This window comes from Homo sapiens, chromosome 10, assembly GCF_000001405.40.
Source record: "Homo sapiens chromosome 10, GRCh38.p14 Primary Assembly".
NCBI classification, from domain to species: Eukaryota; Metazoa; Chordata; class Mammalia; order Primates; family Hominidae; genus Homo; species Homo sapiens.
Window position 1 is genome coordinate 30,692,274 of NC_000010.11, and position 25,102 is coordinate 30,717,375.

General features: G+C 45.4%; 1 pseudogene across 1 annotated transcript, besides 6 other annotated features; it reads left to right on the plus strand.

Annotated features, from left to right (window-relative positions):
• Window positions 1-24,740, plus strand: SVIL2P (supervillin family member 2, pseudogene; annotated as a pseudogene). Its single transcript, NR_036438.1, has 10 exons — window positions 1-24; window positions 3,649-3,804; window positions 5,103-5,239; window positions 5,844-6,242; window positions 7,814-7,989; window positions 11,249-11,393; window positions 12,140-12,416; window positions 17,025-17,180; window positions 20,285-20,410; window positions 24,654-24,740. The product of NR_036438.1 is annotated as a supervillin family member 2, pseudogene (transcript).
• Window positions 3,356-4,555: an enhancer, noted in NCBI's record as "P300/CBP strongly-dependent group 1 enhancer chr10:30984558-30985757 (GRCh37/hg19 assembly coordinates)". NCBI's record gives its function as "activates an origin of replication core promoter dependent on BRD2, BRD4, P300/CBP, MED14 and CDK7 cofactors, with strong dependence on P300/CBP, by STARR-seq in HCT116 cells {active_cell/tissue: HCT116}" and the evidence as "EXISTENCE:reporter gene assay evidence [ECO:0000049][PMID:35650434]".
• Window positions 9,647-9,786: an enhancer, noted in NCBI's record as "active region_3221". NCBI's record gives its function as "activates an Ori minimal core promoter by ATAC-STARR-seq in GM12878 lymphoblastoid cells {active_cell/tissue: GM12878}" and the evidence as "EXISTENCE:reporter gene assay evidence [ECO:0000049][PMID:35858748]".
• Window positions 9,807-9,856: an enhancer, noted in NCBI's record as "active region_3222". NCBI's record gives its function as "activates an Ori minimal core promoter by ATAC-STARR-seq in GM12878 lymphoblastoid cells {active_cell/tissue: GM12878}" and the evidence as "EXISTENCE:reporter gene assay evidence [ECO:0000049][PMID:35858748]".
• Window positions 12,793-12,852: an enhancer, noted in NCBI's record as "active region_3223". NCBI's record gives its function as "activates an Ori minimal core promoter by ATAC-STARR-seq in GM12878 lymphoblastoid cells {active_cell/tissue: GM12878}" and the evidence as "EXISTENCE:reporter gene assay evidence [ECO:0000049][PMID:35858748]".
• Window positions 12,969-13,492: an enhancer, noted in NCBI's record as "NANOG-H3K4me1 hESC enhancer chr10:30994171-30994694 (GRCh37/hg19 assembly coordinates)". NCBI's record gives its function as "activates a minimal SCP1, AML or CMV promoter by ChIP-STARR-seq in naive H9 embryonic stem cells {active_cell/tissue: H9 hESC(naive)}" and the evidence as "EXISTENCE:reporter gene assay evidence [ECO:0000049][PMID:30033119]".
• Window positions 13,373-13,422: an enhancer, noted in NCBI's record as "active region_3224". NCBI's record gives its function as "activates an Ori minimal core promoter by ATAC-STARR-seq in GM12878 lymphoblastoid cells {active_cell/tissue: GM12878}" and the evidence as "EXISTENCE:reporter gene assay evidence [ECO:0000049][PMID:35858748]".
• Window positions 24,741-25,102: the final 362 nt, after the last annotated feature.

Consider the following 25,102-nt stretch of genomic DNA (forward strand, 5'->3'; position numbering starts at 1 on the left):
AATGGGATAGAAGATGCTGACTGGGTAAAGGCGGGTGTCTGGGTCTCCTCTAGAGCCACGGTGGGGACGCAGGGAGGTGGTTTCCCCGAAGGAAAATCCAGATGCTATTACCAGAAGCAGAGGGAGACACGCTAGACAGGCTCCATCCACGGCAATCCACCACATCCATCTGGTCTTAACTGCGAAATTGTCAGAGTGACAGTCTCTTCCCTTATCATATGTTTTTCTGTAAACTGCTCTTGAGATATTTTTTGCATGTTTCAGTTTGTTCAATTTGTTTCAATTTGCATATTTTCATTTCCTATCTTAAAAAATGAACCCTTTGCCATTTTCCACCTCAAAATAGTATTTTGGGTATTTGCATACATAGCTATTTAACCACTTCGCAATCTTCCGCCCACCCAATGTCACTGTTTAAAGAGTTGTATATCATCATTTAAACATATATGTATATTGACACACACATATGACACCATGGTACGTAAAGAGGCCTTTTGGGAACAGAAGGCCGTGCAGCTGGAGGTGGAGAGTGGCAGCAGGAGTCTATTGGGAGATCGCTTCGCTCGGTCTGCTCACCGACCCTAGTCTGATTTTCCACCCCAAAGAGTTGTGAGAATGTGGGGTGGTCACAGATGATTGCGGGCCTATTTTATTTCAATATATTCTTCCAAAAAGTGGTTATTTTTCAGAGGGGGCAGTGAGTTGAGTGGAAGCTAGTCATGGAGGGTCAGTAAGGGGACCGAAAGCTATTGCATAGGGAGAAAGTTTAGTCTAAGTGAAAAGGATTACATCAAGGAGCCATGGTCTGCAAATTCCCGAAGGGCTTGCCAGAGACAGAGAAGTAGACATGGGTGTATGATTCCAAAGTGAGAATTAGGACGTGTGCATGGGCGCGGTAAGGAGAGGGAAGAGCTCCCTAAACCCTAGAGCTGTCTAGCAGAGCCGTGAGCTGCCCGGAAGTACTCCACACCCTCCCAGGAGGAGACCAAGGGGCAGGAGTGAGTGGGGGCGTCTGGGCGTGGCTGAGATTTGAACTCAGTGGGCTTGCATCCCTCTTCCATCTCCAAGAATCTATGACTCCATGTGAGGGGAGTGGCGGTGGGAGGAGGAGTTGCAAGATTTGTAACAAAATCAGGAAATACTTTGTGGAGTCCAAGACCCCCAGGTCATCCAGGGGTGGTGGTGTCACAGACCGGGACCGCGGCTCTGCTTCCATCCGCAGATTGACGTCTTCCGTGGCCGAGCACAAGTGGGCAGTTAGGCCCAAGCGCCAGGTTCAGGCCTCCAAAAACCCCCTGAAAATGCTGGCGGCAAGAGAAGATCTCCTTCAGGAATACACTGAGCAGAGATTAAACGTTGCCTTCATGGAGTCAAAGCGGATAAAAGTAGAAAAGAGAGAGTATTTGAACCCCCACCCTGCTTCTGTGTTTGGGAATGGCTTCTTCCGATGCTTTACTCATTGCTTGGTTTTCTGCCTTGTGAAGGCCAATAATGGTGCTCAGAAGGCCCTCATGAAGTAAAAAGGAGTAAGTTTGCACATACGTGTGCACGCTTACCTAGACTTTAAATATTTTTCATGGAAATTCTCAAAGTGTGTATCACCTGTTCAACTGGTTAATTCAGATTGTCCTGGGGTTTGGCTTTTGTTTTATTTTTTTTTTTAAAGACTGGGGTCTCATCATGTTGCCCAGGCTCATCTCAAACTCTCTGGCCTCAAACAATCCTCCCACCTTGATCTCCCGACGTGCTGGGATTACAGGCCCGAGCCACCGTGCCTGGTTACGAATTATCCTGTTTTGTTGAGTTTTCTTTCTGGAAGTTAGAAGAGATGGATATTTCTGAGTATGGTAATTTGGCCATTTTCAGATCTGTAGATCCTGAACACACAATCATTCTTCATTTAATCTTATTCAAAAGCAAGTCATTTGATCTCTTATAGTAAAACAGCTCAAATCACTGGAATTTCTAATCCTAGATTTTGTTGTTGTTGTTGTTGTTGTTGTTGTTGTTGTTGTTGTTTGAGACAGAGTCTTGCTCTGTTGGCCCAGGCTGGAGTGCAGTGGCGCGATCTGGGCTCTCTGCAACCTCCGCCTCCCAGGTTCAAGCAATTCGCCTGCCTCAGCCTCCCTAGTAGCTGGGACTACAGGCGCAGGCCACCATGCCCAGCTAATTTTTGTATTTTTAGTAGAAATGGTGTTTCACCATGTTGGCCAGGATGGTCTCGATCTCTTGACCTTGTGATCCACCAGCCTTGGGCTCCCAAAGTGCTGAGATTACAGGCGTGAGCCACCACGCCCAGCCTGTAATCCTAGATTTTTATATTATTAATCAACACATACACCAGTGCTTTTCAAATTGTTCTTGGTAAGACCCTGTTCTTGGAGTTGGGATGTTGGCTGGAGGGAGCTGGCTGGGGGCAATGAATGGAGGCGAGGAGATAGGCTCCAGACTCTCAGTCTCATTGTAGGCTGAGCCACACTGCTCTTATCTGCCCAATAATGTGGGGTTCCATCATTCTGAAACAGTGCTTTTCTTGGTTTGAGGTGATAGCATGCATAATCTTGATTTTTGGAATAATCTTGCTATAATTTTCATTTTCCCATAACACTCATAAACCTATTTCGTAATGTTTTTCTTAGAAATATAGTATTTAGATGAAGTGGTTGAGTCTTTTCATTATAACTAGTTTACTAAGAAGGTATATTTCAGGCTGAGTGTGGTGGCTCACACCTGTAATTCCAGCACATCAGGAGGCAGAGGCAGGAGGATCACTTAAGCCTGGGAAGTCAAGGCTGCAGTGAGCTGTAATCACAGCACTGCAGGCTGGGTGACAGAGTCAGACCCTTTCTCAAAAAAAACGGCATATTTCAAAATCACGACACCACAATTAATTGACAAGTATTGTCATATTTCTCCAAACATAATGCCAGTGAAAAATGTTCTGAATTTCTCTCAAGCATATACATTTTTAAAAACAATAAGTTGGAGAAATAAAGGTTTGTTAGCACAAATCTTACATGTGTTTCCTGTGCTTCCACTCTTGGGGGGCTCAGGGGTTGGATTAGTGATAACTGACCGACCCATAGGTGTTTGCACTGAAAACTTGGCATCTTATAATTACAATCTCAACTCTGAGAGCAAGAGACCTCAAGATAATGTCTAGTTGATCACTTTGCTTCAGCAAAAGATTAGAACCTAATAATCCCTTACAGAGTGTCTACTTTTTTTTTTTTAAACATATAAAGGCTTTTGGTGAAAGCTGTCTAACAGTCATCTGGCATCTATACATTTGGGCATGTAAAAGTTGTTAGGATTTAGAACAGCTTTCAGTGGAATTGCAACAAGTGAATCCAGCTCCTGGTTTTCTGCTAAAGTAGCTGGTCCACATCATCACTCAGTTCTTGTCCCTCTGCACAGCGCGGTGTGACACTTGTCAACAAGCAGTTTATATTTTCAATGCTGTATTTAATTCTTAACGCGGTGGTTAAGTATTGAATTGCACATTTAATCAAACTTGAGTATGTTTTCCCTCTCGGGATTAACTTGAAAAGACAAAGGTGTTGAGTCAGTTCTGAATAATTTCTGACTGTAAATATTGTCACTGTAACTGAACCTCCTGCATTGTGTTTCCTTATTCAACCCGCCCAGTATCTTCCAACTCCAGCTTCTCAGAAGTCACCCTGGCGGGTTTAGCCAGTAAAGAAAACTTCAGCAACGTCAGCCTGCGGAGCGTCAACCTGACGGAACAGAACTCTAACAACAGCGCCGTGCCCTTCAAGAGGCTGATGCTGTTGCAGATTAAAGGTATTTCAGAGCAGCCTGGCACGGTGACTCAGGGCCCGTGGTTTCTGTCTGGTCACGTAAGGAGTCCTGACTGTGTAATTCATCCTATGTGCCAGGAAGGGAACGCACGTTTTTTGAGAACCTACTGTGTGTTCCTTGCTATGCAACCTCCTGTCTCTTAAGCTTCCCCAAATCCCATGACATAGGAAGTATTCTGCCCACCAGGGCTTCCAGAGGCAGGAATGTGTCTGGGGTCCCAGCAGCTACTGGGTGGCAGAGCTGGATTCGAACCCAGGTCCCCCCACTCCAGAATCCCAGCTTTTACTCCTGGCGCCCCATGCCCCACGAGGCAGCCACACATCCATGCAGTTACGAGAGGTGCCCTACGTCATCAGAGGGGCTCTCTGCTCCCTGCCCAGTTCTGCCTGAGTCAGTACAGAACTGGGGAGGAAGACACAGCTTGGAGAAGGAATCAAGGGAAGGTCGATGAAGATGAAGCCCACCTGCATTCCGCTCCAGTGCCCTTCCTGTCCGTAGCAAGGGAGATTCCAAAGACAAACCAGGGGTCTCTGGGCCATGAGGAGGAGACTCGGCTGCCTCCTGGTGGCCACTGTATAGATGAATCCTTGAGATGAGAATGAAGGAAATATCCTCTCCCTCCAGGAGGGTTTCCCACATGTTTCTGTGTAACCACTATCCTATTGTGTGTATTTAAAAAGACTAGTGAGAAGCTCACATAACCAATCTCTGTCCTGAGTCCTAACCCAGAGACTACATGATCAGTGTAATTGTGGAAAGCTCAAAATCAACAAATATTTAGGAAAAGGTGTTGAAAGCCACAGAAGGTGGCGCCTCCATCCTTCCTGTTGAGAGGCCCCTAGGGTTCATAGTGGAAACTCCCCAGGGGAAGATCGGACCCTTCCTGAAGGCATGGCTTCCCTTGCCTGGGCCACAGATGTAATTGGGTGCAGGAGGTGGCCAGGGGAGAGAAAGGCCCCGGGAGAAGAGTGAAGGAGGGAAAAGGAGCCTGTGTGCTCATCTCCCTGGAAGAGGGAGCCTTCATTAACCCACGCACATGACACTGATAATGGTCCTGATAAGTGGGTGACATTTGGGAAAGCACAAACCAGGAAAGCAGCCGCTAGTGCCATCATCATGCCCTTTCTAAATCCCCCTGCTGCCACCCTGGGCCATGGGCACTCTTATTAGCAGACAAGACTCTAGAAGTGAAAGCGTCCGCAGCAGGGATGCTTCCGATATGGGGTGCGTCCTATCCCCGTTCTGTCTGGAAAGACGGTGAGTGTCTGCCTCGTGTTCAGGAAGAAGACACGTGCAGACCAGGCTGGTGGAACCTCGAGCTTCGGCGCTCAATAGTGGGGACTGCTTCCTCCTGCTCTCTCCCCACTGCTGCTTCCTGTGGGTAGGAGAGTTCGCAAACGCCATAGAAAAGGCGAAGGTTGGTACCTGAAAAATAAAAACGCTTTAGCTAACATCTCCTTTACACACCGGTGGAGTGTTCTTCCTGGCGTCAGTCACAAAGCTTCTCAAAAGCCAGGTGTTGCATTCAAGTGAGAAGGGATAGGTAGGATTTCTTTTCCTGAATGTCTCTCAAACAAGCTTTCATTACATGTTTAAATGGGATGTTTTAGGACTATGACCTACACCCCAGTGTTTAGGTCCTGGGTTCCTTCCTACTCCTGTGTAAAAAATGAAGCGGCCCCACTTTAAAGTCCTTTATCCCAGGTAGTTCTGAAGTTCTGCCATAGACCTATTGAATGACACTGTCATGGGGTAAAGCCCAAAGAATAGTGCTTTTTAAAAGCATCATATGTGACCTATTGAAGATGGAGAACTATTGCTCTAAAGAATTGATACTCCCTGGTCGTTCAGTTACATTTTCTTGAGGTCATTTAAAATACCCAGTAACCAGCATCCACCCACACCCGTGGTCACAAGGCTTTCCTTGCAGGCACACTGTTTCTCCCTCTGGTTTTGACATGTGCCACTCTGTCTAGCCAAGGGCTTTTCTACCCAGGTAATTGTGTTCGTTTCTTTTTTAGGCCTCAGAACTTGCAGCTTGATTGTAGAGCTACTTATATCTAAATCATTGAAGAAGGAATTAATATACACACTCTTGCAGCCAAAGACTTCTGCAAGCTTCTGGGTGGCCAAACCAGTTACCAATGTCAGACTTCATTGTACTTCAGAGACTGACAAGACTTGAATCTCCTTTCTTCTCCCTTAGCTCATTCTTCTAAACCAGCTACTTTGCAATGTAAAATGTGATGCTCTCCTGTTGTTCTTATCCCCAAGCTGCTGGAGACCCAAAAGAAGATGAACTCTATGAAGCAGCCATAATAGAAACTAACTGCATTTACTGTCTCATGGATGACAAACTTGTTCCTGATGACGACTACTGGGGGAAAATTCCAAAGTGCTCTCTTCTGCAACCCAAAGAGGTACAGCCTGTGGCCTCTGCCCTTCAATGAGAAAGCACATTGAAAGCACTCAGCACAGGCTGCCCAATAGATTAGAGAGTAAGTTCCCAATAAAGGTTAGCCAGTGTCAGTATCCATTGTAGAACATTTACAGCTTTTTAAAAGGATTTTCCTTCTTTCTTTTTTTTTTTTTTTCCGAGACAGAGTCTTGTTCTGTTGCCAGGCTGGAGTGCAGTGGCAAGATTTCGGCTCACTGCAACCTCCACCTCCCGACTTCAAGCAATTCTCCTGCCTCAGCCTCCTGAATAGTTGGGACTACAGGCACATGCCACCATGCCTGGCTAATTTTTGTATTTTTGGTAGAGACAGGGTTTCACTATGTTGGCCAGGATGGTCTCGATCTCCTGACCTCGTGATCCAGCCGCCTCAGCCTTTCAAAGTGCTGGGATTACAGGCATGAGCCACTGTGCCCAGCCAGGGTATTTGTTATTTCACCCCTTTACTGACATCTTAAATGCTAATATGAAATCCAGAATATTGTTCAGAGGTGGCATGGATCATTGACAGCATCATAGGCAAAATGTAAATGTTACTTAGTCCTATCTGTTGCATTTTGTATAAATATTAATGGAATATTTTTCAGTCCTTAAGTTTGAGGAATAATAGATGCATATACATATATATAATTTATGGATTTGCCAATTAATGTGCTGTTTTTGTCCTGTCATGCCAGTAAATATTTATTAATTATATACTTTTCCAGTACCGTTAAGTATGCTAAGTATTAAGAAAGTGGAAGACACGCAAGGCCCTTAAGTTTAATTGGGCGGAAGAGTATTAGAAGGAATGTAATCTGGAGCAAGGTTGACTGTGTGATATGTATGGTCTTTTACATGGGGGAAACGTCACAGAAAAATAAATACAGGAATCATCAGGAATAATTTTCAATAGAAAGTGAAATTGAGCCAAGTTTAGAGTTAAGCAAAATTTGAATTGCTGGAAGTGAAGGGAGAAATCATTCTAAGAGAAAGAATAAAACAAACTATGAACGTAAGAAATAGCATTACATTCATGTATTCATTCAGCAAACACTTAGTAATCAACCCCTCCTGTATGTATCACCATGATCTGATCCCTGCCCTTAAGGATCTTGGAATTGTGTACTGGAGAGAAGACACCATTGGACCATGAGTGCCTGGGGTATATGAAGTGGCCTCTGTGTATATATTAAGTGAATGAACGAGCACATGAGAGGGGGAGGAATAGGGGAGAGAGGCAGGAAGTCGACAGGAAGATGTACCTAAAGAACTCTTGTGAATCGCAAGTTGTAAGCAGGTTGAGAGTTCAGAGGAGGGAACATTATCCTGGCCACTTAGGACACTGGGAGGAGGAATCGTGCCCACAGGGCAGAGGCTGGCTCGGTGGGGCAGTGCCAGCTGAGATCTCCTGGCCTTTTTGTGTCTGTGCTGGTCACCCCATTAGGATTTCTGTCTTCCTCCGTTTGACTCACTGTCAACAGAGACCCTGTTGCACCTGATTCAACTGTTGCATGTTCTTGAAGTTAACAAATTCTTTTGTGCCATTTCTCCCAGGTACTGGTGTTTGATTTTGGTAGTGAAGTTTACGTATGGCATGGGAAAGAAGTCACGTTAGCACAACGAAAAATAGAATTTCAGCTGGCAAAGCACTTATGGAATGGAACCTTTGACTATGAGAACTGTGACATTAATCCCCTGGATCCTGGAGAATGCAATCCGCTTATCCGCAGGTACTACTGCCCCCACCTTGGGACGGCTCCCTGAGCGAGCTGATTCCCTTCGATCCCTCTGTTCTCACCACAGTCCTCTACTCTCGCTCTTTATAGGGTTCAGTTTTCATAAACGATTATATGCAGTGGACTGTGAATATTCACAAAAGGAACAGTTCTTTAACTTTTATCTAACTATTATAGAAATATGGATGCTGTCGTCTTCCAGAAGAGGTTTGTTATAGTTGATTTCTTGAAGTGAGCAAGAAATGCTGCAAGTTCCTCCCTGCGGCATTCCAAGTGCTGCTGTGGCAGATGAACAGCAATTGTTTAAACAAATTACATGCGGATCTGAAAGGCTTCCCCGGGTCTGGAATTCAGCCATTGATCTGAAAGTGCAAAAGCAACATGCCTCCCTCTAATTTCATACCTTCCCAGCATCGCCCTCGAATTCCAGGATTTATTTGGCAGCAGATGATGTTTATGTCTTTATACCTTTTGGGAAGGGAAGAGGGAGAGGAGATGGTATTAAAACAATGATTGCAATTGTAATATTCCCTGCAGGTACTAGACTCTTTAAAGTTATTTTTGAAATTGAATAGAATATGTGCAAACTCTAAAATTGTGATTATGAGAAAAAAATTCTTACATGCAAAGGATTGTTGTTGTCTTTTTAACTATCAGACCAAAAAAAGTAGTGCTTTTTAACTATGGGTGCTGTTACAATAGATGAGAAACCAATGAACCAACAAACAGCATAGAATATTGGGCATCACACAACTACATTTTAATGTTTTCCATTGAACTGGTATATGAATTTCAACTTTCCTGCCTAGTTTCCTGCTTTAAAATCCAATTATTGATTTTCTTATTAATTATTATAGAAATCATTAAAATTATGTCAGTGTGGTAAGAAGTTTTAATGTCCTTGTTAAGCAAATGCACTAATGTTTAACCTCAGTATGGTAACAACTGTTGTTTTAAGGACTGGAACTACAACAGCTCAAAAGATTTTATTTGGTATAGCAGAGAAAAAAAAACAAGCTAAAGCATAAAAATCTATGTGATAGCCAACTGTATTTAATAGTGGCATAATCACAGATCTGAAAGTAGATGACTGAGCTCCTAACCCACTGGTTTTCAACATCTCTGAGACAGAATCACCTGAGGGGCCTTTAAAAAAAAGGCATTTGCTCAGCCCAGCCCCAGAGATGTGTTTTCGTTTCATGTGAGTTACAGTTTATGTGTCAATATGTCTTAAAAGCTCCCAGGGATTTTAAGGTGCAGCCAAGATTACGCACCCAGCCCTTCTTAGCAAATGAGGCTGAAACCACTGAGCCCAGTTCCGGCTGTAGGTCAGGGCAGTGCGTGGAGAAACACATCTGGCTTCTGGCCCAGGTTCATCCCCCTCACCCTGCAATCTGCTGCATCGCTTGCTCACAACGCTTCAAAACATAAGTGACAGATTCTAAAGCAGAAACCAAAAGCCCTTTCAATTATCATCTTAGCAAGCCTGCAGAGTAGGACTGACATAAGAGACAGTCATTCAGATATTTTCTGATAAAGACCACACAGCCTTTCAAGACCACCGTGCATTTTCCATAGGTGCTTATGTTTGGTTCCTAAAGTCCCATAAGAGCATGAGGTAGAAGTGTCTGTGCTCTATGATTTATCCGGCAGCTTTCTTTGAATCAGGCAGCCTTTTTGATGTGCCTCAGCTGTGACATCAGCAGCTGTGGTCTTGACCAAGCAGGAAGTGACTGAGGCAGTAGCACAGCAGGGCACAAGCAGCAGCGGGGGTTGCTCTAAGAGGTGGCTGCATCCCAGGCCAGATTCACAACCGAAGATGGGTCTGGAGGGATGAAAGATCGTGCATATTATTCCAGGGCTACTCCCTCCGCAGCACGCATATCTTCTCTACCTTTTGTTTTATTTCTTTTTCTTTCTTTTTTTAAATTTTTAATTAATTAACTTATTTTTTTGAGACAGAGTCTCATTCTTGTCGCCCAGGCTGGAATGCAATGGTGCTATCTTGGCTCACTGCAACCTCTACCTCCTGGGTTTAAGTGATTCTCCTGCCTTAGCCACCCGAGTAGCTGGGATTACAGGTGCCCGCCACCACATCTGGCTAATTTTTGTATTTTTAGTAGAGACGGGGTTTCACTATGTTGGCCAGGCTGGTCTTGAACTCCTGACCTCAGGTGATTCACCTGCCTCGGCCTCCCAAACTGCTGGGATTACAGGCATAAGCTACCACACCCAGCCCTCAGCTCTACCTTTTTCTAAATTACCTGTGTTCTTGGGGACAGCACAAATTCTGAAATCCCAAGCCCGCACAAGACCTCCTATCTTTCTGTGCTCTCCCCATCTGCCGTCTTGGTCAGTGGCCTAGAAATAAGTGCACAAAAAGGCACTTCAAGATCTATGAAAGTGTGTTCATTTTAGTGATGGGAGAATCTCTGTACTCTGGAGAGCTTTGTTGTAACATGAAATAAAATAATAGAGAATTGAGGAGGGAGCTACCTCTTCCCTACGTCTATTAATTAATTGGAGGAAACTTGGTGAGCATTTGCAGGTGACTGGGTGGCACAGAGTAGATGACAAGTGAGGTTTGCCCACAGCTCCTGCTATTGCCGAAATCTCCACCCAGCGTGCCACTCCCAGGGCATCCCAAAGACAAGAATTTGCTAGAATGTGGCCAGGTACAGTGGCCCACACCTGTAGTCCCAGCATTTTGGGAGGCTGAGGTGGGAGGATTGCTTGAAGCCAGAAGTGCAAGACAGCCTGGGCAACATAACGAGACCTGGTCTCTATTAAAAAATTAGCTAGGCATGGTGGCACACATCTGCAGTTCCAGCTATTTGCAAGGCTGAGGCAGGAGGATCACTGCAGCCCAGGAGTTCGAGGCTGCAGGGAGCTATGATTGTGCAACTGCACTTCAGCCTGGGCAACGGAGCAAGACCTTATCTCAAAAAAAACAAAAAACAAAAACAAAAAAAACTTGCTAGAATGTAAGAAAAGTCTAGTCCTGACATGGTTCATGTCACATTAAGGCACATCAAAAACTCCATGGACACAAAGCTTTGCAAGACTTCAGACTAAAATAACAAAATGTCAGTATTTGGTAAAATGCAGGAAAATAAACCATTTATTTTATATGTACTCACGTACTTTGAGGTTTTTTCCAGCAGCCGCATGTGTTTTAGATTCCTTTGTTTAAGCTTGGCTTCATCTTGGTTCTTTTCCTGTCTGTTCTCCCAACCCCCTTCCCACCCTACAGAAAAGGACAGGGGCGGCCCGACTGGGCGATATTTGGGAGACTTACTGAACACAATGAGACGATTTTGTTCAAAGAAAAGTTTCTGGATTGGACAGAACTGAAAAGACCAAATGAGAAGAACCCCGGGGAACTTGCCCAGCACAAGGTATTCCAGTGACCAAGTCTCAAACCTCAGGGCTTGGTTCGGGTCCCAACAAAAGTGGCCTTGATGTAAAATGATCAAATCAGGATAGTTCGCATGGCTGTCACCCCAGATGTATCATTTCTTTGTGGTGAGAACATTCAAATCTTCTCTTCTAGCTATTTTGAAATATGCAATACAGTATTGGAAAACAGTCACCCCACTGTGCAGGAGAAAACCAGAGCTCATTCCTCCTCTCTGATTGTCATTTTGTACCTGTTGGCCAACATCTCCCTATCCTCCCTGTCCCGTCTCCTTCCCACACCCCCTTCCCCATGAAACAGATGCATTTATCAACACATCAAATCATATCCATAATAATGTGTCAACTAAAATACTTTTTTAATTAAAAAAAATGGACACACATACACACACACACACACACACCCCTTAAAGCTAAGAGGCCTTCCCAGGATTCACTAATAGAACAGCAGACTGGCCTCCAATTCTAATCTGACTCTGGGAGGTGAAGAGTCGGGTTTGCACCTGTTTTCAGGCACCCCATGCACCAGTGTGGCCAATGGGTGTTCAGACCTGCCAGAGTCTTTCTGAAAATGCAGCCTTTCCCTGACTGCAGTTAAACATCCTGAGACAGAGTGTGGAAGGTGTATTTTTATGCTGTCCCATGAACAGCTGAAGCAGCGTTGAGTGTGACAAGGAATAGCTGCGGAAACAGGCAACTGAACCGATGTCTTCATGTTCCCCTATAGGAAGACTCCAGGGCCGATGTCAAGCGGAACAACGTGACACGGATGGTGTCCGTGCCCCAGACGACAGCAGGTGCCATCCTGGACAGGGTGAACATTGGCTGTGGCTGTGGCCTGGTGGAAGGACACCACAGGAGGCAGTTTGAGATCACCAGTGTCTCCGTGGATGTCTGGTACATCCTGGAATTTGACTATAGCAGGCTCCCCAAACAAAGCATCGGGCAGTTCCACGAGGGGGATGCCTATGTGGTCAAGTGGAAGTTCATGGTGAGCACGGCAGGTTAGTGAGCGCTTATGGCTTTCTCCAGCTGAAAGAGGTCAGCCCAGCAGCCCTGCGGGAGCCAGCTTCTCCAATGAACCCTGTCATGCCCTCTGCTGCGTGCGTGCAGTGGGGCACCGCAGTCATACGCCTTTGAGAGCCAGTTAGTAAACCACAGAGATGAAAAGAAGTAAGGCCGAATTCCTAACAACCTAGCATTGCCGAGGCCGCTGGTGTTCACCTGTAGAAATTGAACTTGCACATCAAGGCTTCTCAGCTCCCTCTCTCCCTCCCCTGCCCCTGTCCCCAGAGATTTTCTGGGAAAGAGATGATTGGCCTCTAAATGGTATTTCCCATGTGGCTGTGTGCTGCTTCAACTAAAGTCGTTAAGTAGAGCATATCTTCGTGATTTAAAGCTGGAACCAATGGTGCTGTAACATTATAGTAAATACATGCACAGAAGATTGATTTGAAAAGTGAAAGAGGCTGTTTCTCCTGAGACTGAGAGCACAGGTGGTGCTTTGTGGGTCTGGTGTAGTAAATGCAGAGTCTAAACTCTCCTCGGTTCCTGATGGTGACAGACCCCATTGCAAAACACTCACCCGGATGCTTGGCGCTGGGGAAAGGGGGAGTCCGGTGAACTCCGGAGAAATCATCCCTTTCCTTGCCAAGGAGGAGCCTTTCCCACAGCGCTCCTCACCCCTTCCCATTTAGGAGAGCATGCAGGTCACAGGTCTGTGATTTCAATTCAGAAGGGAGTTTTTTCACCTCTTTTCAGCCTCCTTGCTGTGCGGGTGCACCTGCCCCCGGGGCCACAGGAAGCACAGGCAGCTGTTTGCTGATCAGAAAACTGCAGGCTTGGAACCACGTGATTTCTTTCCTGATTTATACAAAATGCATCTGTTTCATCAACTGACACCATTTCCTGAGCATCTACTCTATGGGAGACACTTTCTGTAGGGACCAAGTAAAGATTTCAGACCCTGTCTCCAAGACAGTTATCCATGATGTAAAGCAAGTGCAGGAACACCCAGCAGGCGGGTCTCACTGAGCACACGGCCAGTGGGGCTGTGTGCTGTGCAGAGCCGGGCTGTGGCCCAGAGGTCCCCCTGCCCCCTCAGGGCACGATGCTGGGGGCTTTACCCTGCCTCTAGCTGAGTGCCTCCTGGGTTTCCTGAGACTTGTTCTGTTGTGATGCTAATTTCTCAGATGAGGAACAGGACCTTAAGATCAAGGAACCTGCCTGAAGCCACAAGCTAGCAGGGAGTGGAGCGGGACACTCACATCCAGGCCTGCCTCTTTTCAAACCCAACTGTGCTGCTAACCCACCCTGCATGCAGGGAGTCAGAGTGGGGCTCCAGCACAGGATGTGGAGAGCCGTGAGTTTGGCTACAAGGAGGGGCCGAAGATCCCAGTCACCAGACTGTGGAGCAGGTCAGGGTTGAACCAGCAGCAAGGCGACTTGAGGTTGGGCCGCTGAACACACCAAACTTCAGGGGCTTCTTAAACAGCAGGAAGGGGATCTTCCAGGGCCCAGGCAGCTCCAGCCTCTCCTTCCAGGGAGTAGTGGGGTGTCAGACAAGGACCCCCAGTGGGAGGAACTCCCTTTCCTCCCTCTTCCCCTCCCCTCCGCTCCCCTCCCCTTCCCTTCCCTTCCTTGACAGGGTCTCACTATGTTGCCCAGGCACTTTCTTTCTTCACTTCTTTCTTTCCTTCTTTTCTTTCTTTCTTCTTTCCTTCCTTTCTTCCCTCCCTCCCTCTCTCCCTCCCTCTCTCTCTCCCTCCCTCCTCTCTTTCTTTCTCTTTCTTTCTTTCTTTCTTTCTTTCTTTCTTTTTCTTTTCTTTTCTTTTCTTTTCTTTTCTTTTCTTTTCTTTTCTTTTCTTTTCTCTCTCTCTCTCTCTCTCTCTTTCTTTCTTTCCAGCAGACTTATAACTTTGAAAAAGTCCAGCTTTGGAGAATTAAGATAGAGCAGGGAGCGTTCAGATTCCAGACCATCCCTCCAGCAGGGGGGAAGCACAGCCCCATGGCACTTGCAGTCACTCCGTAGCCAACGCGGAAGCTCTGGCCCCTTGGTGACACTAGTCCGGCTCCCCTATCACTTGTGCGCACAAGGGCCACACCTGCAAACAGGACTGAGTCAGAGCTCAGGGTGCACTTCTGGGAGAGGGTCAGCAAAAGCAGCAGCTGCACAGGTGGTACAGCCTCCACTTGGCCAATGCTGGCCGGCCTGCTAGGGTCAATGTCCTGGCCCAGTGCCTGCAGGGTAGGGTTGCTCGTGCCCCACCAGGGTCAGGAGACAGCTGCTTGAGGTGCTCAGGGATGCTGAGCCAGGCTCCTCCGGGGCGTGATAGGGGTTTAATTTCTATAAATAGGTGGCTCTGGGGCAAGAATACTTAACCACGAGCAGTCTTCATATCTCTGTTTTCTGTTATTCCTACTGGTACCAAACTTATTCTTGAAACTCTTTTGATGGCATAACATATCCAAACTTTATTTATTTATTTATTTTATTATTTTATTTATTTATTTATTTATTTATTTATTTATTTATTTATTTTGAGACAGAGTCTCGCTCTGTTGCCCAGGCTGGAGTGCAGTGGCATGATCTCGGCTCACTGCAAGCTCCACCTACTGGGTTCACATCATTCTCCTGCCTCAGCCTCCTGAGTAGCTGAGACTACAGGTGCCCACCACCATGCCCGGCTAATTTTTTGTATTTTTAGAGAAGTGAGGTTTCACCGTGTTAGCCAGGATGGTCTCAATCTCCTGACCTGGTGATCCGCCTGCCTCGGCCTCCCAAAGTGCTGGGATTACAGGCATAAGCCACCGCGCCCGGCCCTATTTATTTTTTTTGAGACAGGTTCTCACTCTGTTGCCCAGGCTGGAGTGCAGTGGCGCAACCTCGGCTCACTGCAACCTCTGTCTCCTGGGTTCAAGCAATTCTCCCTGCCTTGGCCTCCCAAATAGCTGGGATTACAGGCCCCCGCCACCACACCCCATTAATTTTTGTATTACACTTTAAATTAGGCAACTGATCAAGGCTGTGAAAAGAATGACCCCATAAGTTCTTCACACTGAAAATTGAATATTTACATTGATAAAATTAAAAATAAATACACATAAGAAAAATTAATTTGTATATAGGACTACATTTCAATACATGCAGGAAAACTGTAAGGAAAATTAGTGAAATGCCCATTTTGTAAAATATCTTTAAAGAAATAAAAGTCTAGGCTTACATCTGTAATCCCTGAGTTTTGGGAAGCTGAGGTGGGAGGATCACTTAAGGCCAGGTGTTCAAGACTACCCTGGGCAGCACAGTAAAACCCCATCTGTACAAAAAATTAAAAAATCAGCCCAGTATAGTGGCATCTGCCTGTAGTCCCAGCGCTTTGGGAGGCTGAGCCAGGAGGATCACTTGAGCCCAGGAGTTCAAGGCTGCAGTGAGCTATGGTTATACCACTACACTCCAGCCTGAGCAGTAGAGCAAGACCCTGTCTCTAAAATAAAAATACTTTTAAAAAGAGATACAGTTGTATTTTGGGTATATACGGTCAAGTCTGTTTAGAATGTTAGGACGTAATATTGGTTATTTAAGTGTAAATGTGTATTTACACAATGTATTTGAGTGCTAAAAATGTCTAGGTCTTTATAGACTGTTATGAGCTATTTGAAACATGCCTTTCCCCAGTAATCTAGTTGGTGCAACAGATTTTCACTACTTTGAGGAACAGGATTGCTAATCAAAGGCAAAATTTTTTTGCTAAGTTAGCAGAAATTTCAGTTGAGTGGCTTCCAAATTAATTATAGTTATTTATAATGTAGTCATTGATGGTTCCTATTTTATTTTGCCCTCTCAAAAACATACAAACTTAGCCAGTTCAGATCCACAGTGGATGGTACGAAAGGCTGTTTTTAGTGAAAATGCTTTAAGAAATTATTAGAATCATTTATGGAACCTACGTTACAGATACTTTACCAAACAAATGGCCAAAAAACAAATAAAAATGACCCCTGAACTTTTAGGAACTTAAATGAGTTTTCTTCTTCCCTTCAAACCTCAATACAGTTGTAATGTTGGAAATGGGATTGGAGCTAGGAAAAGTTGCGGTGATATAGAACCAGAGACTCCAGTTTTTTTTGTTTGTTTGCTTGCTTGTTTGTTTGTTTGTTTGTTTTGTTACGGAGTCTCATTCTGTTGCCCAGGCTGGAGTGCAGTGGCACAATCTCGGCTCACTGCAACCTCCATCTCCCGGATTCAAGTGATTCTCCTGCCTCAGCTTCTTGAGTAGCTGGGATTACAGGCATGTGCCACCATGCCCAGCTAATTTTTGTATTTTTAGTAGAGACGGGTTTCACCGTGTTGGCCAGGCTGGTCTCGAACTCCTGACCTCATGATCCGCCTGCCTCGGCCTCCCAAAGTGCTGGGATTACAAGCGTGAGCCACCGCGCCCGGCCAGTTCTTTTACTATTACAATTTAGCAGGTCTTCTCCACCTCGAAGCTCGGATTAATTCTACCTGTGTTTCCACAGTGCTTTGAATTATTTCATATTTTACATTCATTCTTCATCTGGAATTTACTTTGATGCACATGATATCTTCAGCTTTGTTCTCTTTTCTTTCAAAGATCCCGGAAGTTTTAACTTCGCGCCCCGCCTGTTCGTCCTCAGCAGCTCCTCTGGGGATTTCGCAGCCACGGAGTTCGTGTACCCTGCCCGAGCCCCCTCTGTGGTCAGTTCCATGCCCTTCCTGCAGGAAGATCTATACAGCGTGCCCCAGCCAGGTAAGGCCTGCAGGGGGCAGCTATGCTGAGCAGCAGAAGACACACCTTCTATGTGCTTCTGCACACCCAGAACATGTGCTTATGTTAGCTCATTTCATCCTCACCCCTAAACCCAAAGGAGGGAGGGTGAAATCAGCCACACATTATAGCATAAGCAACAAGGCTCAGTTACTTAACCCACCCAAAGACGTCAGCTAAGAACAGGTTAAGCACCACAGTGGCAGGCCTGGCGTCTCCACTCTTCTCCCAGCCTTCCTCTCAGTCTTGTTGCTGCATGGTCACCCGTCAACTGCCATTGCTCCAGCCATCATGTTTGCATTTAAGACAGAAAGAGAAAGAAGGGTGGAGGAAAAAAGGGAACTTAATAGCCACATCTCTCTCTTTAATCAGATAAAAAAGACGTTTTCCCAGAAGCCCCCAGCAGACTTCTGCTTATGTCTCATTGGCCAGAGCTTGTCACATGGCCAACCCCAGCTGCAAGGGAGCCTGGGAAAGCAAATGGCCAGGGAGAAGGGTGTTGAGGTATCGGCTAAGTTAGCCAGTGAACAGGGTCTGCCATACCAAGTCTCCGCAGCAGAGCCAAGACTCCAGCCCAGGTCTTCTGATCCCAAGGTCAGGGCTCTGTGCCCTCATTCTGGTTGGGAAAGTCACAAGAGACTGGGCTTGACAACCCCTCCCACCCACCCTCCAATGAAGCCAAGGTCAGCTGCCTCTCAGTTTGTGTTTGTTGCTTCTCACATTACAAGAGCCTGGAGCTGCAGCCAGGGACCTCACCTTGCACTGGGATCTCAGGGCACCACTGAAAGTTTGACCAGTGCACATGTCATGCTTGGAAAACCTTAGCCACCAGAAAGAGAGGCTGTGCCCACGCCCTTCATCCTGGGGCTCAGGGCGGGTTATCAACCTCCACTGGGCTTTTAAAGTGTGGTTTTCACAGAATCCTGAAATGCATGCCAGGAAAGGACACACTGTGAGCCAACTAGCAAGAGTGAGAGGCGTTTTGCCACCTGGAGTAAGAGTCAGGCTGACAATTTGAGGAGGAGAAAAAGTGAGGAGGAAAAGGCAGTAGAACAATTTTTATTTTCAATTTATTTCATTTTATTTTATTTTTTAGAGATAGGATCTCACTCTGTCATCCAGGCTGGAGTGCAGTGACACAGTCATGGCTCACTGCAGCCTCAAACTCCTGGGCTCAAGTGATCTTCCCACCTCAGCCTCTGAGTAACTGGGACTATAGGCATGTACCACGCCTAGCAATTTTTTTTTTCTTTTTGTAGAGATAGGGTCTCACCATGTTGCCCAGGCTGGTCTTGAACTCCTGGGCTCAAACAATCCTTCCTCCTCAGCCTCCCAAAGCACTGGGATTACCGGCATGAGCCATGACTCCTGGCCACAGTTTTGATGTTTAAAGCCCATTTCTCTGTAAGAGAGCCATGAGCTCACCTCACTGCTAAGCAGTCACGTGCAGGGCAGGAATGCCACTGACCTGTCTGCAGTGAGATGTGTGCTCCAGTGTTGATTGTGCTCTTTGGAGATAGGTGGTGCTAACAGTCCCTTGAGTGGCACATGCATTATCCCTTCCACTCTTAGCACAGCCCTGCCAGTATCCAGAAGGGCCAGGGGCTTGAGCTGGGGCAAAGGGAGGAGGGCCTGGAGGATGAGGAATGAAAGAGACCAACTCCTTGACACCACCTCTCTCTGCCTACAGGCTTCTCCCAGTTGAACTTTCAAAGGGCTAAGTGTCCTGGGTTTCCGTTTGCCCCTTTGCCCCTGGTTTGACAGCCAAGGGGGTTTCCCCCTGTGACACAGCAGTGGGGAGGGACAACATCCACTGGGTTTGGGGAGGAGTGAACTGGAAGTGTCCGTGAAGGAGCTCCTGACGGTCGGGCTCTGTCCCTGCCCTCACAGTGCCTTTCCTTGACAATCACCACGAGGTGTGCCTCTGGCAAGGCTGGTGGCCCATCGAGAACAAGATCACTGGTTCTGCCCGCATCTGCCGTGCCTCTGACCAAAAGAGCACGATGGAGACCATGCTCCAGTATTGCAAAGATGAGGCCTCGCCAGCAGCTCCCCGGAGCCCTAGACCCTTTTTCCCTTTCTGCATGGGTCAGCCAGTGTCTATAAAGCCTGGCAGATGATAATGAAACCCATTTTTTCCCCTTTAACTTTTTGAGATATATTAATTTTTAGATTAGTGCATTCTCAGCTGCCAGCATGAAGAAGAACTAGTTTTTCTCTCTGATATTATGAGGCCATCTAACTTGTTACCCTCAAGGATAAAGGCTGTATTGTGGAATGCCCCAGGCAGATTAAAACCCTGTTGTACTCGGGGTTGATTACACTGAGAGACAAGTTGGTCTCTGCCATGTACATTATCTGCAAGCTCTACCATGCTGTTGGAGAATGGAAGTTTCCCCCAAATGGTGAATGGCCATTGCCAACCTTTTTATTATTTATTATTATTTTTAGTATTATATCCTAAAAGAAAGACCCATATTAAGTTTGTAGTTTTTCGTATGCCATCCGCATGAAATTTCTGGTCTTTTATGTAAAGTGAAAATACCAGTAATTAATATCTTATCACATTTTTATGTTTTCATTGATACAATTAGTTTAATATCACTGAGTATGTGCAATTGATTATCTTCCTGAAAAACTCTTTAGCAATAAATAACATATGAAACCTTCCACCCAATGTTATAGTGAATGTGGATGTATAAGATGCTGTCGTTTGCTGTCAGTCATATTGGAGTTAATCCCATGGTAGGAAGGCAGACAGATGACTCTACAGGTGAATTCAGGAGGAAGAAAATGCTCCACCCAGAAGCTGCAGATAGAGCCTCTCTCTCCCTTCCAGGAATACACAGCGTTTTGTTAGGTTCAAGAAGTATAGACTCAGGTTGATTATAGATCACTATTGTAGTCACAGGCATGAAACTAACATCTTATATAAACATTATCCATGTGTTGTTATGAACTACTCGTAACTTGCATTTTAAGCATGAAGTCATGAGTTCTGGCAAAGAAGAAAAGATTTCAAGGGAAATCAGCGAAAGACAGTGTCTCCCTTGGGTCTACTGACATTGCATTCTGTGTAACTACAGGAAAAAAATCTCAAGAAGCCAGTCCCCAAGTCTTACCTTATCCATGCTGGTCTGGAGCCCCTAACATTCACCAATATGTTTCCTAGCTGGGAGCACAGAGACGACACTGCTGAGATCACAGAGATGGTGAGCACGCTTTCCTGCCATATGAAGGTGGCTCCTGTGCCTTTTGGATTGTGGGTTGACTTTACTTTGGGGAGAGCATCCAATTGCACTTTCCAAGTGGGAAAATATTTATTTTGCAACATGATAACATGTCATAGAATTCACTTAGTAAGAAGAGAAGTCGAATGGGAAATCAATTGAACTATTTTAGTAATTTTCTACACAGTATACCCAAATTTAAAAAACTTAAAAGCAAAGGTGAGTTGAATCATGCTGAGGGCTGTATGTGTACATAAAAGCTGCGAACTCTTCATTCTCTTTGCTAAGAACCTGTTGCTTGGCATTGCTTGTCTCTCAGTGTCCATGTGACGCACAACCAAACCCTCATGTTTCAGACGTTAACCTTGTGTAGAGGAGACACAAATGAAATCTGATGAATTAGTATGTTCAGAAAACTGAATGAATGGAGGTGCTGCGACTCCCTTATGATAAGGGATCACTCAACATCTCATTAATATTGTCTTTTATGAGACCACCTGGTATTTCTGCATGAGGCATTTATCATAACTTCTATCTACCAAAATATATTGTTATCCAGAATGTTTTCCAACCACACAGAAAAGAAGTTTCCTATAACGATGTTGAATTTCTTATATATGAGCTATTAACATTGCTAGGAATAGCAGTTCCAAGGATTTATTTTGGTTTGATGGGAGATGGGGTTTTTCTGTTTTGATTTTTTTTTACCATGTAAGAGAGCTGCTTTGATTGGGGAAATGACCCAAGTATATTTTATAGTCTCAAATTTGTGTCTCTGACCGACTAAAATTAGGGTTTTTTATAGCAGGGAATAAATGTAACCATATGTGGGAAAACAGGAATGAAGGAGGGTTGAGGAAGAGGAGGTGGTCAACAGGAAGCAGGGAGTCAGTTAGGCATCATGGTGGGTGAGGGGCCTGGTAAGCTTCCATTTCCTTTTTTTTCTTTTCTTTTCTTTTCTTTTCCAGCCCAGGCTGAAGTGCAGTGCCACAATCACAGCTCACTGCAGCCTCCACCTTCCAGGCTCAATCAGTCCTCCCACATCAGCCTCCCAAGTAGCTGGGACTACAAGCACACACCACAATGCCCAGCTAATTTTGTATTTTCAGTGACGTTTTGCCATGTTGCTCAGGCTGGTCTTGAACTCCTGGACTCAAGTCATCTGTTGGCCTCAGCCTTCCAAAATGCTAGGATTACAGGCTGGCTTTCCAAAGTGCTAGGATTACACTGTTGGCTTTCTGATACTATCAGAGAAGCCTGATGGTTGGTTTCCTGAGAAAGGAACTCAGATAAGACAAATATAACTTTCTCAAGTTTCAAGACTGGGAGAGTCAAATTTTTGATGTTTATTCGAAGAAACCATAAACATCAGTTCTGTGGGACAGTTTAGCCAGTTTCAGAAGGATGTAACGCACCATCCTCTCTGTGTATTCACTATAGATCCTGGGGGTTGGCAGCAGGGCCATTTACTGTTGTGCAGGCCTGTGGAATTCCAGCCAGAGAAGAGTCAGGCTTCCCACACCAGCAAGTTATACAAATAATTAACATTCACCAAGTGCTGATTCTGCATTAGGCACAGCTCCAAGCACTTTACACTGATTTTCTCATTTAATTATCACAACAGTCCATCAAGATCTATCTTCTTATTATTCCCATTTTACTGGCACGGGAGCAGAGGCACAGAAACATGAAGTGACTTTCAGCGAATGGAGAAGTCAGTACTCAGATGCAGGCAGGATCACTCAAACACCTGCCTTTGTCTCGCTCTCTCTCTCTCTCTCTTTTTTTTTTTTGAGATGAGGTCTTGCTGTGTTGCCCAGGCTGGAGTATACTGGTGCCATCATGGCTCATTGCAGCCTGGAACTTCTGGGCTCAAACCATCCTCCCACCTCAGCCTCCTGAGTAGCTGGGACTATAGGTGTGCACCACCACACCCAGCTGATTTTTGTATTTTTTGTAGAGATGGGGGGGTCTCACTATGTTGCCCAGGCTGGTCTCAAACTCCTGGGCTCAAGCAATCTCCTGCCTTGGCCTCCCAAAGTACAGGGATTATAGGCATGAGCCACCATGCCCAGCCCAAAACCTGCCTGTTGACCACTAGTTCCCCCATATATTTGTGATTTGGGCAACAGCTCTTAGTCATGCATTCCCATCATCCATCCACCCAAAATGAGAGAAGCCAATCTGGGATCCCAAGTTTAATGGAGGAAGATAATTTACCCAGAATAGCTTGTTCAGATTAAATGCACACAGTGGTTGAAAAGCAAACTTGATTCTGCTCCAAAATATTCTGGATGCACTTTCTGACCTTCTTTTTCTATTGTGGATTAAGAAGGTGCCAAGGCGGGCAGATCACGAGGTCAGGAGATCGAGACCATCCTGGCTAACACGGTGAAACCCTGTCTCTACTAAAATACAAAAAATTAGCCAGGCATGGTGGTGGGCACCTGTAGTCCCAGCTACTCAGGAGGCTGAGACAGGGGAATCGCTTGAACCTGGGAGGCAGAGATTGCCGAGATCATGCCACTGCACTCCAGCCTGGTGACAGAGCGAGACTCTGTCTCAAAACAAAGAAAAAAAAAAAAGAAAAAAAGAAATGAGGCCGGGGAGGGGAGGAGGGTGTGATTTCTTTTCAGTTTAATTATTTTAAAAATATTTTTAAACAAATTCCATTATTTGGAGGTCTCTGGTGTTTAGACTTAAAGTCTACTAATCTTAGTTTGTAATTCACTCATGGGAAAGTCCCTAAACATTTTTCCAGAGGCGGTTCTGAGACAAGATTTGTTTGAAACTCTGTGATAAGATGAGAAAACATCTAAAAGTCAGAGAAACAAGACTCCATCTCTACAAAATATTTAAAAAGTGTATTAGGCAGGCATGGTGGCATGCACCTGCAGGCCCAGCTACTCAGGAGGCTGAGGTGGGAGGATCACTTGAGCCTAGGAGTTCAAGGCTATGATTGCACCACTGCACTCCAGCCTGGTGACAGAACGAGACACTGCCTCTAAAAAAATAAAATAAAATAAAATGGGGCCAAATGCAGTGGTTCACACCTGTAATCCCAGTGCATTGTCAGGCTGAGGAGGGAGGATCAGTTGAGGCCAAGAATTTGAGACCAGCCGGGGCAACAGAGCAAGACCTGATAAGAAAAAAGAAAAAAGAAGAAAGAAAGAAAGAAAGGAAGAAAGAAAGAAAGAAAGAAAGGAAGAAAGAAAGAAAGAAAGAAAGAAAGAAAGAAAGAAAGAAAGAAAGAAAGAAAGAAAGAAAAGAAAGAAAGAAAGAAAGGAAAGAAAGAAGGAAGGAAGGAAGGAAGGAAGGAAGGAAGGAAGGAAGGAGAGAGAGAAAGAAAGAAAGAAAGAAAGAAAGAAAGAAAGAGCTAGACAAGAAAGAGAGAGAAAGAAAAGAAAGGAAGAAAGAAAGAAAAAGAAAGAAGAAAGAAAAGAAAGAAAGAAAGAAAGAAAGAAAGGAAGGAAGGAAGGAAAGAAGGAGGAAAGGAAGGAAGGAGGGAGGGAGAGAAGGAAGGAAGGAAGGAAGGAAGGAAGGAAGGAAGGAAGGAAGGAAGGAAGGATGGATGGATTAGCCGGACATGGTGATGCACACGTGTAGTCCCAGCTACTTGGGAGGCTAAGGCAGGAGGACCGCTTGAGCCCAGGAGTTCGAGGCTGCAGTGAGCTATGATAGTCCCACTGAACTCCAGCCTGAATAACAGAGACCTTGTCTCCAAACTATATTTTTTTATTTCAAATTTAAAAATTAAAAAAATTAAAAGTCGAGACAACTGCAGGGCTTTGGGCAATCCCTTATCTTTCAGAGCCGTTTCCTCCTTAGTGACATGGAGCTATGTGTCCTCAGGCTGTGTGCAGATGGCACAGGTCTGTGTGTTTGCAAGCACTTAATAGAACGAGTTCAACAATTAGAACACTTGGACACAGGAAGGGGAACGTCACACACCAGGGCTTGTTGTGGGGTGGGCGGAGGGGGAAAGGATAGCATTAGGAGATATACCTAATGTAAATGACGAGTTACTGGGTGCAGCACACCAACATGGCACATGTATACATATGTAACAAACCTGCACGTTGTGCACATGTACCCTAGAACTTAAAGTATAATAAAAAACAAAATAAAATAATAAAATAAAAATATTATTTCCTGCAGTCAAAAAAAAAAAAGGAGTTCAAACTTAGGACACGAGCTGTCCTCTCTGCCCCCTCCTCTTTTCTAGGACATGGAAGTTTCCAATCAGATCACCCTCGTGGAAGACGTCTTAGCCAAGCTCTGTAAAACCATTTACCTGCTGGCCAACCTCCTGGCCAGGCCACTCCCGGAGGGGGTCGATCCTCTGAAGCTTGAGATCTATCTCACCGACGAAGACTTCGAGGTAAGCGGTTCTTCCGCTGGCATTGGAGATGGGAGTAAAACAACACACACCGCCCGGCTCCTTTCACTGAGTCGCGGGGCGCTTCTCCCAATGTTTCCAGTTTGCACTAGACATGATGAGGGACGAATACAATGCCCTGCCTGCCTGGAAGCAGGTGAACCTGAAGAAAGCAAAAGGCCTGTTCTGAGTAGGGAGACGCCAGAGGAGCCTCACGGTCATGTCCAACACCACCGCACCAGGGAAATGGATATATATTTTTGGACTGGTGTTTTTCACAAAGTATTTTTCAATCA